This window comes from Homo sapiens, chromosome 7, assembly GCF_000001405.40.
Source record: "Homo sapiens chromosome 7, GRCh38.p14 Primary Assembly".
NCBI classification, from domain to species: domain Eukaryota; kingdom Metazoa; phylum Chordata; class Mammalia; order Primates; family Hominidae; genus Homo; species Homo sapiens.
The window spans coordinates 104,770,397-104,785,192 of NC_000007.14; the positions used below are offsets into that span (position 1 = coordinate 104,770,397).

Here is a 14,796-nt window from a genome sequence, read left to right on the forward strand (position 1 = left end):
GCCTGCTCATGGTCTCAATAAAGAGAAGGTAAAAGATTGGAGAAGTATACCATTAACACTGGCATTTACATAGCAGAGCTTTCTCTGAGAATATCCAAATAATTTTTCATGTACACACAAATGCTGGACTTAAATACTCGCTTATTAAGCTTCGTACCATTCTCAGAAGACTGGAAGAGCAGAGATTGGAATGTCACACAGAACCTCTCTGGGAATGGTGAATATCTAACACTCATCCAATTATCCCCTCCCACACCCATTGTGGACATCAGTAATCAATCCTGGCACTCTTCCACCAGAGCCAAAAGGAAATCTCAGAATCCTCCTCAACACAGATTCCAGGCAGCCACTACCAAGTCATCTGAAGCAAAACCAGATATGAAGCCTATTTTCCACAGCCTCATAACCCCTGTAAGTTCTCCTTCTGTGTTTTTGTTAACTCAGTTATCTCATCCTTGATGATCCCTCCTCACCCTTGCAACTTGCATATTGTGCCCCACCGCATGCCCGTCATCCCCTGTAGCATGTCAGTTTTTTAAGTGTGGGGATATTCATTCTGCTCATTGATGAATCCCCGCAAGCCCCTAGTCCAGTGCTCAGCACATGGTTGGAGCTCAACATATATTTATGGATGAAAGAAACTTTGTTCACACTTTTTGGGGGCAGCTCTCTCAACACCTCTGTAATGAGCCCTTCCCAGCCCTTCCAGTTCTTTCTCCTCTTCACAAAGCCACACAGTATGGGCAGCTTCTTGCCAAACTTACCACGCTCTGCCAGTAGACCCCCTCAACAAATCAGTGTTTGTTGAATTAAATTAGAATAAGAACAGACACCTGACTAAATAATTGAAATAATCTTACCTCACAGGTGTATGGCACTTTCACTTGTTCAGATATGTGTTTCATTTCATTTCGTTTCATTCAGCCCCATGAGTTGAATAGGGCAGGAATTACCTCCATTTTGTAGGCAAGGGAACAAGGGGACAGAGGTGATTTTCTCATGATTTGTTCATGTCAGAAGCAGCATCTGTCTGCTCAGGGCTCAGGGCTCTTTTTACTGGAAAATGCTGCCATTTGATACATTATTTGCTTCAGTTGAGAATATAGCCATATTCTCCAGTTCTACAGGTTTTTGGAAATATATACTAATTATATTATTGTGGTTATAAATTACATTTTGAGTATTTCACAGGGTATTTTTTAAAGAAAATTTGATTTTACAGCCCAATGAATATTGATATTTTGGCTCTATTTTGTAGTCGCTAATAAATACTGCTCACGCCACTCATAATCCTCACTCCTGTGTGATTTGTTTACTACCCTCTCCAGTGAAAATAAGAGACTGTAGGCTCTTTCTCCTTAAGCCCAGAAGTTACCCTTAGTTTTATTTTCAATACTTATTAATTTTTCTTTTGCCTCTCTTTTTTTTTTTTTTTTTTTTTTTTTTGAGACGGTTTCGCTCTGTCGCCAGGCTGGAGTGCAGTGGTGTGATCTCGGCTCACTGCAACCTCTGCCTCCCGGGTTCAAGCGATCCTCCTGCCTCAGCCTCCCAAGTAGCTGGACTATAGGTGTGTGCCACCACGCCCAGCTAAATTTGTATTTTTAGTAGAAAAGAGGTTTCACCATGTTGGCCAGGAATGGTCTCGATCTCTTGACCTCGTGATTGCCTGCCTCGGCCTCCCAAAGTGCTGGGATTATAGGAATGAGCCACAACGCCCGGCCCTTTTGCCTCATTTTTAATATCTCTGCTGGCCAATCATACCTTCATTTGAGCCTATTAATAACTGCTTATATTCATGGTATTTCCACATCTTTTATTATTCTTATTCTCCCAACCCAGAGGGATAGAACAAATTTCGTTACCTCCATTTGACAAATGAGAAAAATGAGGCACAAAGAAAGGAAGTGACTTGCCAAAAACCTTTTAATTAGTTAATGGCTCAGTGATTATTAGAACCCAATTCTTTTGATCTCAAGTCCTGCTCTCTTTCTGCTCAAGCCTAATAGCCTTGGTGTGAGCTGTCTTATAGCCATGCAGCCCCTACGGTGTGCTCAGACAATGGGCTCCGACTGCCTCCTCCACCAGCCCTACAAGGACACCGGATCCTACACAGCAGTCACAGCAGTCACAGCAGTGCCCTTTCTTATTCTGATGCCACCCCAGCTCAGTCCTCACCAGGAAAGGGCAGGCTGCGCTAGACTGCACTGCTGCTCTGCAAAGTGAATGGAAACATCACACAGAGATAAAGAAGAACACAGAAATCTCATTCCCCTGCTGCCTCGAGGTAGAGAAGAAAGCATTCTCAGCTCCTGCCTCTGAGAGTGGGTTCACCTCCAGAATGTAAATGCCAGCCTCCATCCTGTGACGTATCCTACTCTCGAGGCAGGCAAACTGCATGCTCAATGGGGAAGACACATGACTCAGGCTTCAATCCTTCAATCAGATAAATTTTTAATTCAAGTTCTGTGCAATTTGGCTAACATTAACTTTATTGGGTAATTACCTTATTCGGAGTGCTGTTAACAGCGCTGTCAACAAGAATGTCAGCTTGCTGCAAGAGATGTGCTTGCTGACAGCAACACAAAGAGAAGCTGAGGCAGGTTTTTCTTTTAACCTATTTATTAAAATTTTATGAGTAAGTTGTTTTCTCCCTGGTGGGCTTTCCCCTGTAGTATTTATGGGATCACAGCTGCTTGAATGTAAATGCAGTGGCCCAGCCTCGTTGTCATCCACATTAGCTGCCTCTGAGCCAGAGAAGTCCCCTGGTGGGGGTCTTCTTACCCACCCAGAACCTGACAGGGCAGTGAGGGGCCACTGGCTGGACTTCACCCCCCATCCTGGCAAGCTAACCAAGGACAGGCAGTGTGCCTCTGGGGGTGGGCCCAGTGAGTTCTGCTCAGAGATGGAGGAAGGACTTCCTGTGCCTGGTTACAGTCAGCTCTGTAATGGGGAAGTAATGACCTCATTTGGGAAGCAGATGTTCCCAAAAAGGCAGGAGTGTTAGCGTGAGGCCCTGATGATCCTCCACAGTTGAGCAAATGTGCTCTCTAGTTGGATAAATTTCAGAAATGCCATGCATCCTTTATTCCCCTCTTGGAGAAGCATAGAGATTCTGAGAACTATCCCTCGTGCTATGGGTTGAATTGCATCCCCCTAAAATTCATATGTTGAAGTTTTAACTCCAGTATCTCAGAATCTGTCCCTTACCTGGAAATAGGGTTGTTGCATATGAAATTAGTTAAGATGCAGTCACACTGCAGTAGGGCAGGCCCCTGGCCCAGTCCTTACAAAGAGAAGAAACCTGGACAGAGACTCCCACACAGGGAGAATGCCATGTGAAGATGAAGGTGGAGATCGGGCGACACATCCACAAGCTAAGGAATGCCAAAGTTTGCCAGCAAACCACCAGAAGGTAGGGGAGAGGCCTGGGACAGATGTTCCCTTGCAGCCCTAAGGAGGAACCAACCCTGCGGACACCGTGATCCTTGACTTCTAGCATCCAGAACTGTGAGACAATACATGCCTATTGTTTAAGCCACCCGGGTTGTGGTACTTTGTTACAACAGCCCTAGAGACGAACACAAAGGGTAGGACAACTTCCGTGTAGTCACACATCTAGTTAATGTAAAGCCAGGAAGAGAATTCAGGCCTCCTGGCCTTTTAAAACAGTGCTCTGCCCACTGAATAGTTCTAATCATGCTCAATGTTCATTCCTCAGCTTCAAATCCCATTTGGAATCTGGCAAAGAAATAGGGATGGGAAGAGAGAAAGGTGGCAGAAGGAAAGGAGAAGGGACAGGAAGAAAGTGGCTCTTTCTCTTTTCTCTTCCTTCTCTTACAGAGCCCTCATTAATGAAATTAAAATGATATTCATAATGATAGCTAAATTTGTCTAACACTCGCTCTGTTCCAGGCATGGTTCTAAGTCTTCTACATACATTATATAACCCTAGCAATGACTTAGATACTGCTAGTATCCTCACCTCACAGTACAGATGAAGAAACTACGGCAAGAAATTTTTAGATAACTCCTTCATTATCACTCAGCTAATAAACAATGGGTTCAGAATTTGGCCCCAGGCAGCCAGTCTCCAGAACCCAATTCTCACCATTTGGCTATACACCTTCATTCCAGTAATACAGAGAGAAAGGATCTTTGCAACATAAGGTCAAACACAGCCTTTAGCTTTTCTAGTGGTTAAATCTCAGTAAAGCCTCTAAGCAAAAACTTATCACTGTGTTCCAGTGTTTTTCTAGAACTTGGACTTTTTTAGAAAAAGAGTACTTTGATGACTTATATGCTGGGCATCAAGATATGGTCCATTTTATTCAAGTACTGTATTTTTATATATTCAGTTCTTTCTGATCATGTTCCTTTTACAGAGTTTTGCTCTGAGAATCTCTGTTTGTAGTATAAGGAGCATGCTGGATTAAAGGCCTCATTCAGGAGGCAAAACATATGAGTTTTAGCATCTTTATACATTAGAGCAGAACCATAGACTGTAAAATTTCCACTTCTCCTGCCTCCTTGATGCAAAGCAAGCTGAGCCATCAACACTGGTGTTACAGTTACAGCAAATCGCTGGCTTTTGTGGAGCAGGTTTGAATTCAAAGATCCTGCACCATTGTCAATACGTGCCAGAGTTTGAATCACACCAAGTTTCAAAAATAGGATAACCATAATACAGTATATGTTTGACAATTAAATATAGCTGACTGGGCACGGTGGCTCATGCCTGTAATTCTAGCACTTTGGGAGGCCAAGGCAGGCAGATCACTTGAGGTCAGGAGTTCAAGACCAGCCTGGCCAACATGGTGAAACCCCGTCTCTACTAAAAATGCAAACAAAAATTAGCCAGGCATTGTGGCAGGCGCCTGTAATTCCAACTACTCAGGAGGCTGAGGAAGGAGAATCACTTAAACCCAGGAGGCAAAGGTTGCAGTGAGCCAAGATCACACCACTGCACTCTAGCCTGGGCAACAGAGTGAGACCCTGTTTCCATCAATCAATCAATCAATACAGCTACTAATTTTTAAAGTCTATTAATCAAACTATATTTCCAAAGAAGCCTTGGCTTTCTCTTAATATTAATCATTTATGCCCAAATACCAACATTGTTTGTACAAATTTTTTTTTTCATTTTCCTGCCAGGTGTGTGAAAATTAGGGGCCAGATGGAGAAACACTATAGAGAATATGGAAATCATTTGTAGGAGCTTAAAAATACCCTCTCATGCCAGACTGAAGAAAATGATTTAAAACCTCAAAGATTCTTTGCTTGCCCTGAAGCAAGCAGCCACTGCAATAATTTAACTGGAACCTTTTATTACATTAGTCACTAACTTTAAAAATGCAAATCTTCTGAATACACCCAACAACTAACAATCTTTCTTCCTGTCTGAAAGGCTTATTCTTTAAGGTTTCTTCTTCTAGGTTCCCTGGGAGTTCTTTTCTGTCTTTTTTTTTTTTCTCAGCTTATCAGAACATAAAAAATGCATGCTCACATTTTTCTTAAGTCTTGATTTTCCATGTGTACTCTCTAAAATGCATCTGATTTGTATCAGAATCTTGGAATGCATTGTTTAAAAGGAAAGAAGCTAATTCCAAACATATCCTATCTTTGTACTTTCTAGTTTGGGTTTAACATGTAAACTGGTTGGTACCAGACTAAAGCCAAAGAATGGTATAACGCCAGTGGGTTTTAATCTAAATGTATCCTAAGAACACTGAAGCTTCATTGTGGTGAACATCACAGATACAAAGGGCTAGGAAGCAAGTCACTCTGTGAGCCCAAAGTCATCCAGGCTCCGACTGAAATTATATGCCCACACTGATAAGAAAAATGTATTTGGAAATACAACACTTTGGCCTATTGCCAAATACAGCAATTTCTAGAAACCACACCCACAATCCAGATGCTACCGAGGCACCCATGGGACTCCCCATCCCCACCTGCATACAGCCTTATTCCTCAGGCTTTCCTCTCAAGCTCTAAGGAAGACACAACTATCTGAAACACCCCAAAATTGTAGTCAAGGCACCAGAATTGCACCCCCCACAGCCAGCTTCTCCTTCTTTTACCAGTGGTTCTCACATCAGAATCACCTGAAGTCTTGGAAGCCTCCACCTCCACTGGGCCCTCCTCCCAAAGTTTCTGATTCTGCAGGTCTGGAGGTGAGGCCCAAGAATGTGCTTTTCTAACACATTCCCAGCGGATGTGAATCTGCTGGTCCCAAGAACATACTTTGAGAACCTCTGATTTTAAACAAACAAGAAGGTGCCATTCTAATGCCCAAAGTATTCATACTGGCATATAGATGTTTGGTTTTCACTGCAACAGTTCCCCTGTATTTGGTTTCCTATTTTACAACACGCAGGATGTGAGGATTCAGATTGCAGGGCTGGGCTACTGTACTTGTTGGGTAACAAACTCTACATTGTAAAAAACAATCATGGGCTTTTACAACAGAGGAGCAAACATACCTACTTGTGGCTGAAAACCCTTCACCCTTGATTCAACTGCAAAAAGCCTCACTTGAGAACTAAAATGGGGCTCAATTTAGTAAACTCTCTCCTGAGACCAGCTCACTCAAAAGGAGCAAGATGGTCCAGTGTCATCTGGAGGGCACAGTCCTATCTGGCTCTAAGTAAGTGTCATGACCTCTGGGAGCCTCAAGATGCCTGGAACACAGGAAAGAGATGCAGGGAGCAAAAGTATAGCCCATAGATTATTATGTGGCCTTGGAGATTAATATGTGGCCTTGGGAGAAAGAAGTCATCTCTCTTGTCTTCATTTTCTGCCTTGAAATTTGGAAATATTATGATCCTATTCTTCCAACAACTTCTCAAAGGGCAGTGTTTCCAGTATGGTTTTTGATGGGTCCCTGCACATTCTGTGATAGGTTTGAGCCATTGTGCTTAAGTGCTTGTTGTTTTACTTCCCAGGGCTCCTAGAAAACAGGGTTCAAGAAGTTACCAGGGAATATTAATAAGCCCTGAAGTCATCTGGGAGATGCCCCGCTGTGGCCCCACCAGCTCTGACCCTGATGCTGCTAGGGTACCCAGCTCTCAGGCAATGCTGTCAGCCCAGAGTCTGATTGGACTAAGGAGCCACAGGGCTATTCCTAAGGATGCCTTTTGGTTGCTATGTCTGCAGTTTCTTATTTCCCTTTGCAGTTAGAATTCCCTTGGCCTGATGCAAATCCCCAAAGGCAACCTTCCCAGAAATCCCCAGTGCCTGATTGCCAGCACTACAGAGAATATCATTTGTCTTAATTACTCTGAAGAAAACTGTGGAGACCATTTCACTGTCCTCTCTGGCTGTACAATGCTCGGTTCAGTTGCCATTGATGAACTTCTTTTTTTTTTTTCCCTTCGTTCCCTTTCTGAGTGACTCACCTGAAGATAAGAGTTTGAATGGAAACACAGCAGGAACCATGTCCTTTTGAGAAATTCCTCCAAGTGACATGAAAAAGGAGTGTGGGGATCTCTTGTAACTTAAGTAAGTCATTTAGGCAGCCTTACTTCACCAGTTTCTTATTGGCCTGTGCAAGATTTTATGTCTAAGAGAGACATCTGGGATGTATTGAACTTGTTCTCCTTCCCCAAACAGTGCTCACCTAAGCTCCTTCCATGACAATCTGGGCTCAGCATCCTGGAACAAGAGCCCTGCTTTGGAAGAAGAAGAAGTAGACCCAGGTCCTAAAAGGGTGGACCTATAGGTGCTATGACCAGGGAGATCCTAAGTCCCAAATCCTTCTCATCATATCTTTCATATGCTTTTAGAAACCAGAAGATTGAGTGCGATTTAGATTTGTCATTGCTGTGGGCTCTCAATGGTCCCTAACCTCCTTGAGTCGATTAATACCCATTCCTGCTGTGCGGGAGCTTGATCTCCCACAACCTTGTGCAGAGGCGGTGACCCTACCCACCTTGGTCTCACTCATCCAGAATCAGTTGACTATCAGAATGGCTGAGTCACATGGAGTTCAGATCCTGTGCCTAGTGCAGGAACACACCAGCCACAGATTTGACCACTCCAGAGACTTACCCAAGAGGCGTCCTGAGCTCCCCAGATTCCCATGGAAGGAATGATTATCTTGGTTCCCAAGTGGAATTAAAACCCTTCACTCTGTGTTTCTCCAGTTTTCCAGCAACCATGTGTACCTGCAGGAACTTCCTGAGCCCACTAACATCCACTGTATCTCCCAAACACAACTCCTCCTACTTAGGCCAGCCTCCTACTTAGGGCTCACTTTCCCCTCGCACTATCATCTACCACTTCTCCGCCCGTGGAACTGTTGGGCAGAGGCCCTTGCAGTGCAGCAGGTGGGTGCCCCAGCTCTGGACCAGGCTGCCTCAGTTAAAATCCAGGCTGCAACACTTACACACTGTCATAGTCAGCAACCATTCTGTGTTTCGGCATCCTCTTCTCTAAAATGGAGATAATGATAACAGAGCTAATGTCAGAGAGATGTCAGAAGGGTTCAGTTAAACAGAATTATTTTATGTGGCGTACTTGCCATAATGCCTGGCTAAATAAATGGGAGCCATTATTATTCTTCAAAACTGAATTCAAATGCCATACATACTCTTTAGGATCTCATCGTTGCCTCTTTTCTCCCTGGACATAAGCTTTCAATAGCCATTATCACATGTATTATAATCACAGGTGGCTTCATGATGCAGAGCACACCCCTGCAGCCTGACTGACTACCTGCAAGACTTGCCCCTGCCACACTTAATAGCTGTATGATCTCTATGCCTTAGTTTCTTTATCTATTGAACGGGATTAATAATAGTACTCACCTCATAGGGTGGTTATGAGGATTAGGCAGGTCATAGGTGTAAAGCATGTCAGCAGTGTGTGATGCACAGGAAGCATCCCATAACATAATCACTCTCATCATTGAGTATTCATTTGTCTGTCTCTTTCACTAGACTTCAAGCTCCTGAGGGCAGGGAAATGACTTATTTATTTTTGTATGTTTCATAACCAAAATATAGTTTGGATAACTGGAGAAACACAGAGTGAAGGGTTTTAATTCCACTTGGGAATCAAGACAATTATTCCTTCCATGGGAGTCTGTGACGCCCAGGATGCCTCTTGGTTAGATCTCTGGAGTGGTCAAGTCTGTGGCTGGTGTGTTTCCCCTCTCCCTGCACCAGGCACAGGATCTGAACTCCATGCGACTCAGCCGTTCTGATAGTCAACAGATTCTGGATGAGTGACCTCTGCACAAGGTTGTGGGAGATCAAGCTCCTGGACTTCTGATCTCTAGTGTTTGTTTCCTTGCTTTCTTCCTTTGTCCATGAACACTGATTCAGCACTGATATGCGCTGGCCACTGCCAAACTTGATAGAACATGATAGAACTTGATGGAGATGCAGGTCTGACTCGACCATAATCCATAGTCTTCTTATCAGAGCTGTGGTTGATCTGCAAGACTCCGTCGCCGGAGCAGTTTCATGGCTAAAGCCCCTAGCTGGAACTCTTCTAAACAATATAAATTAGTGGGGTTTTTTTTTTAGCTAAACTTTAATCTATGTGATGGCTTGTAATGTGCCTGTAAGTGAGGGAAGGAAGTTTGAATTTTACAAGTATGTGACCAGAGAGACAATCATTTACAAAAGGCAACCAGGAGGAACTCCCTTCATCCACAAGCTTGTTAACACCAGCCCTTGGCCCCCAGTGGCCCCTCCTCTTGTGCAGATCTGTACAGATGTGGTTTTGTCTACAGGCAGAGCTCCCTCATCCACAAGGATAGGGCCCCACCCCACATACCAGTGGCCACTTCCCACTTGTGAGTGAGGTCTAGTGCAGAAGCTTCCCAGGAACGAAGAAGCCTTGAAAGAAAGGGAGCCAGAGCAGAGACCCCGACAGGATTCCCACTCCCGCTGCCAGCAAGTCCCTGACACCTCCATTCTTTGGTAAGCATATCCCCGTAAGTCCTCACCTCCTCCCTAAACTTTCTCTCTGCCTCTTTCCCTTAACTAAAATCCAAACCTGCCCTGAAGACCCCACTTCTCTAGCCCTGCCCAGAGGACGCAGCTCCTTCTCCCACAGCTTTGTAAGGCACCGGTGACAGTATACTTCTTGGTCTCTAGTGCTGCTTCCAGAGCATATCCTGGCACCCTGGCACCTCAAAAACAGACAAGGGGGGAAAAGATTCTTTGAGATTCGTGTCACCAGGCTACCTCTCTCACAGCCTCTCCTCACCACTGTCACTTACAACCGCCCACCCTTGCTCACTTTCTAAACACTTTGACAGCTGGTCCACAGTCTGCCTCTACTCTCAAGCCCTGCCACCTTTTCAGACACCTCTTTTGTCCACATCAGTGACCATCCACATGAATGAAACCTCTCAGTTCTTTGATTTTCTCAATTTCAATGCCTTCTTCTCCACGCAAGCCACATCCTGCAGACCCCAGACTCTGCAGTTACTTACCACCTCTGAAAAACCAAAACTGGATATCCATTCTCTGTCCTTCAACCTGATCAAGACCTTGATCCCTCAGACTTGACTTTCTTCCCTTGTCATCACTCGATTTCTGACCAGTGTGCCCTCACTTCAACCCGTTCTTTGCCAACATCCTCAACTCCTTTGCCATGTGCCTTGTTGAAGTCCATCAGGATGCCAACCCCAGGTTAATCCAACTCTCTGTCCTCTTTGAGTCTACACCTGGACTGTTAAGGAATATCAGAGGGAAAAAAAAATTCACGTAACCACAGAAATAGGTACCATTCCCAAGGATACAAATTTTCTTTGTTTCTCTGCTTGGTCCCCTACTGTCCCACCCAGTGGCTATTTCAGGTCTTTTTTCTTCTCCTAAATGTCCTATCTCAACAACTCCCCAACCAGTCAGTGCACAACCTTGTTTCCTACTTCACAGGAGAAATAAGCACCATCAGATAAAGTAGCCCATCACCTTATGGCTGCTACACATTTACATATTTATCTTCCTCTATCTCATCATTTTTCCCATCTCTCCTGTCACAGTGGAAGAGGGGTCCCTCCTTCTGTGTCAGCCAAATTCCTCTGCTTGCACACTGGGACATCCCCTCTGCTTTCTGCAGAATACTTACTGTATCTATTTGCCCAGTGCCTCTCTTCACCCTCTCCTGCATTTTGTATTTTTCCCAACATCACTGAAATTTGCGCATCTACTAACTGTAAAATAAAAACCTTTTCTCAACCTGCATCTACCCTCTTTCTTCATCATGAAGCTCCTTGACATAGTTACTTTCTCCTTCCGCCTCTACCTTCTCATTGCAAACCATCTTCTGAACTTATCAGACTTTCTTCAATGTCACCAGTGACATCTGTGGCATTAAATCGAAAGGATACTGTTCAGTCCCTATACTTTTCTACTTTTCAGCAGAATTTGACATTGATAACCACTCCTTCCTACTTGAAGTACTCCTTTCTTTTGGCTTCCATGACACCACACTCTCCTTGTTTTCCTCCTTACTACTTATTTTGCTTTGAAGGCCTTGCTTCCTCTGTCTGCCACTTAAATATTCATGTTCTTTGTGACTTTATTACTGAAAATTGTTCCAGTTATCTATTATCATACAGCAAACTACCCCAAAACTTAATTACCTAAAACAGCAACCGTTCTATCACGCTTATAATATCATGGACCAGGAATTCAGGCAGGGCTCCGCAGGGCAATTCTTCAGCTCCACATGGCATCATGCATGGTATTCAGCTAATGACTGGGCTGGGCTGGAGGTTCTAAGATGGCTTCACTCACATGCCTAGCACCTTGGTAGTGGTAACCAGAAAATTGGGATTCCGTTCCTTTCCATGCAGCCTCAGGACTTCTCCACATGGTCTCTTCAGCAAAGTTGTCAATCTTCTCACAATGCAGTTTAGCAATTGAAGAACAAGTGCTCCAAGAGAAAGGAAAAGAAGCTAGCAGTCTCTTAGAGGCTGAACCTGCAATCTGACACATCATTACTTCCGCCTTATTCCATTGATCAACTATTCATAAGCTCATCCGGATTCAAGGGTAGTAAATATAGACCCCAACTCTGAGTGGGAGGAAGGGACCAAGAATTTATCCTCTGCAACAACCTTCTTCTCTTCAACAACCTTCTTCTCTTCAACAAAAAGACACTTTCGTCATGGTCACCATCTTTCTCCTGGCTTACTGCAATGCCTTCCTAACTGGTCTCCTGCTCCCATGTGTGTGCATTCCATTATCCACAGTGAAGCCAGAACAACCTTTCTGTAATGCATATCACATCATAGCACATCACTCTTCTGACTGAACCACTTTAACAGCTTCCCATTGCCTTTAGGGGGAAGCCAAAACTCCTTAGCATAGCCAACTAGGTCCTTTGTGATTTGTCCCTTGCTGATACCTCCACCTTCACCTCTCACCACATCTTTCTTATACGCTACACTCTACAATATTGATGTCCACAAGCATGCCATGCTTTCACTTATCTCCAAGCCTTTGTACATTCCGTTCCCTTTGCAGTAAGCTTCTATGCAGCAACCCCCATTTCCCACTTCCTGTGGATGAACACAAGTGCGCACGCGCGCACACACACACATGCACACATACATTGCCTTCTTTTATCCCTCCTTAAGATCTTGGCTTAAAGAAATGGTTCTCAAATCACTTGTGCAATCCCAGAACAGGCATCAGCATCAACTGGGAACTTAACTCGAAATGCAAATCCTCAGGCCCAACTTCAGACTAGGGAATCAGAAATGCTAGATGTGGGAACCAGAAATCAATATTTTAACAACCCCACAAGGTGCTTCTGGTGCACATTGAAGTCAGAATCACTGGCTTAAACAGCATTTCCTCCAGGAAGCTTTCTTTAACTTAACTCTTTACCCAACAAGGAATAGGGACTGCTCCTGTGTGTTTCCACAGTTCCCCATCCTTATCCTGACCATAACCCTTCTCACAGTATAGTACAAATGCCTACATACTTATTTAACCCCAGTGGGCTCTCTCTTAGTTCCCACAGTCAGGGACTGTATCGTGTTGACTGCTGAATCCCCAGCATCTACATAATGCCTGTCATGTTAGTAGTTCAATAAGAAATTTTGAAGCCAAGATTCAAATCCACGTGTACATCACAATCTTCTAGAGAGGTAGACTGCAAACGCCAAAAACAAGAAATGTAATGCACCGACGATATTTGTAATCAGCAGTTGGATCAGGCTTCAAATAAATGCTTTCATGCTTGCATAATAGAAAGGAGATTCTGAGGAGGTACAGGATACCTAACTACAAAAGACTGTAATAAAACCCCAAAGATATACACTGTTGAATCTACCTAAATCCCTGAAAATAAACTACCTGACTCTAGCCCTGAAGTCAGATAAACCAAGCTCATCATCTTCCCATTTCTGCCCAACCAGTTCCTCCATTGCTTGTATTTTAGTATGCTATGTTTACTGGAGTTTCTAAAATGCCACTAAACCTTTGGAAATTTTGTAGAAAAGAAGAATCTGGGTCATGCAACTGTGAAATCTAAATAAGGTGTAATTAACATGTCCATCAACTTTCACAGAAGTGACGCTAGTTTGCAAACTATTCATTAATTCTGCACAATAACAGCAACTGGATACAATGCAGACACCAAGCTGAGGATGAGAGGCTCAATGTAGTGCCAACCCAGAGTGCTGCTGGTGATGTGTAAGAATGAACTGCTTCTATTTTCTGCATAGAGAGCTATGACTATTTAAGAATTTGGGGCTGGAATTGCCAAAGAGTGGTAGTATAATCACTGACTCTCAATCTTTAAATGTAACCTTGTTGATTTACAAAATACTCTCCAAATTATGAAAAACATTTCATAAATTACTTGGGAACTTGGGGAAATGAGCTCTTCTCAACAGAAACAAAACATCAAAACAGCTACATCTGAAAACCAGGAAAGAACTGAATTCAAGTCCCAGATCCCAACCAGCAGTGTGGCCTACTTAACATTTCTGGACCTCGCCTGCAAAATGTGGTAATAATACCTCTTCAGAATGTTGTTTTGAGGATTAAATAAAATAATGCACATACTCTGCTCAGCACACAGCTAATATGCCAAATAGTTATTATTTCTATTCTTTCCAGACAGAATTAGAAAATGATGTCAAAAACCAAGTAGACTATGAAAAACAGCACAGCAATTCCTCAAAAAATTAAAAACAGAAATACCATGTAATCCAGCAATCCCACTTGTGGATACATATCCAAAAGAATTCAAAGCTAGATCTCAAAGAGATATTTGTACATCCATGTTCACTGCAGCATTATATTCACAATAGCCAGGAGGTAGAAGCAACCTAAATGTCCATTGACAGATGAATGAATAAACAAAATGTCATATGACTTTCATGTCATAGGCTGCCACATGGAAGAATCTTGAGAATATTGTGCTATGTGAAATAAGCCAGTCACAAAAAGACAAGCCCCATAAGATCCCACTTATGTGAGGGATCTAAAGTTGTCAAACTCATGGAAGTAGAAAGTAGAATGATGATTGTCAAGGGCAGGGAAGGGGAAGTGGGGAGCCATTGCTTAACAGGTCTAGAGTTTCAGTTTTACAAGATGAAAAAGTTCTGGAAATCCATTGCACAGCAATGTGAATATAATTAATGCTGTGGAAGTATATACTTAAAAATGATTAAGATGGTAAATTTTAGGCTATGTGATTTTTATCATCATTCAAAAATATTTCTTAATTTTTTTAAAAAAGTGGACCTGCTTCCCTCCCTTTCTTTCTTCTAATAGTGTGTGTTCCTGTCTCCCTTGCCACTCTGTCTTAGTCCCCTTC

The 14,796-nt window shown here is 43.3% G+C and overlaps 1 protein-coding gene across 2 annotated transcripts in view, besides 1 other annotated feature; it reads left to right on the forward strand.

Moving 5' to 3' along the window:
• Positions 1-14,796, forward strand: part of LHFPL3 (LHFPL tetraspan subfamily member 3) — a 579,959-nt gene that overhangs the window by 441,794 nt on the left and 123,369 nt on the right. The window lies entirely within an intron of this gene.
• Positions 1,801-2,565: an enhancer, noted in NCBI's record as "OCT4-NANOG-H3K27ac-H3K4me1 hESC enhancer chr7:104412644-104413408 (GRCh37/hg19 assembly coordinates)". NCBI's record gives its function as "activates a minimal SCP1, AML or CMV promoter by ChIP-STARR-seq in naive H9 embryonic stem cells {active_cell/tissue: H9 hESC(naive)}" and the evidence as "EXISTENCE:reporter gene assay evidence [ECO:0000049][PMID:30033119]".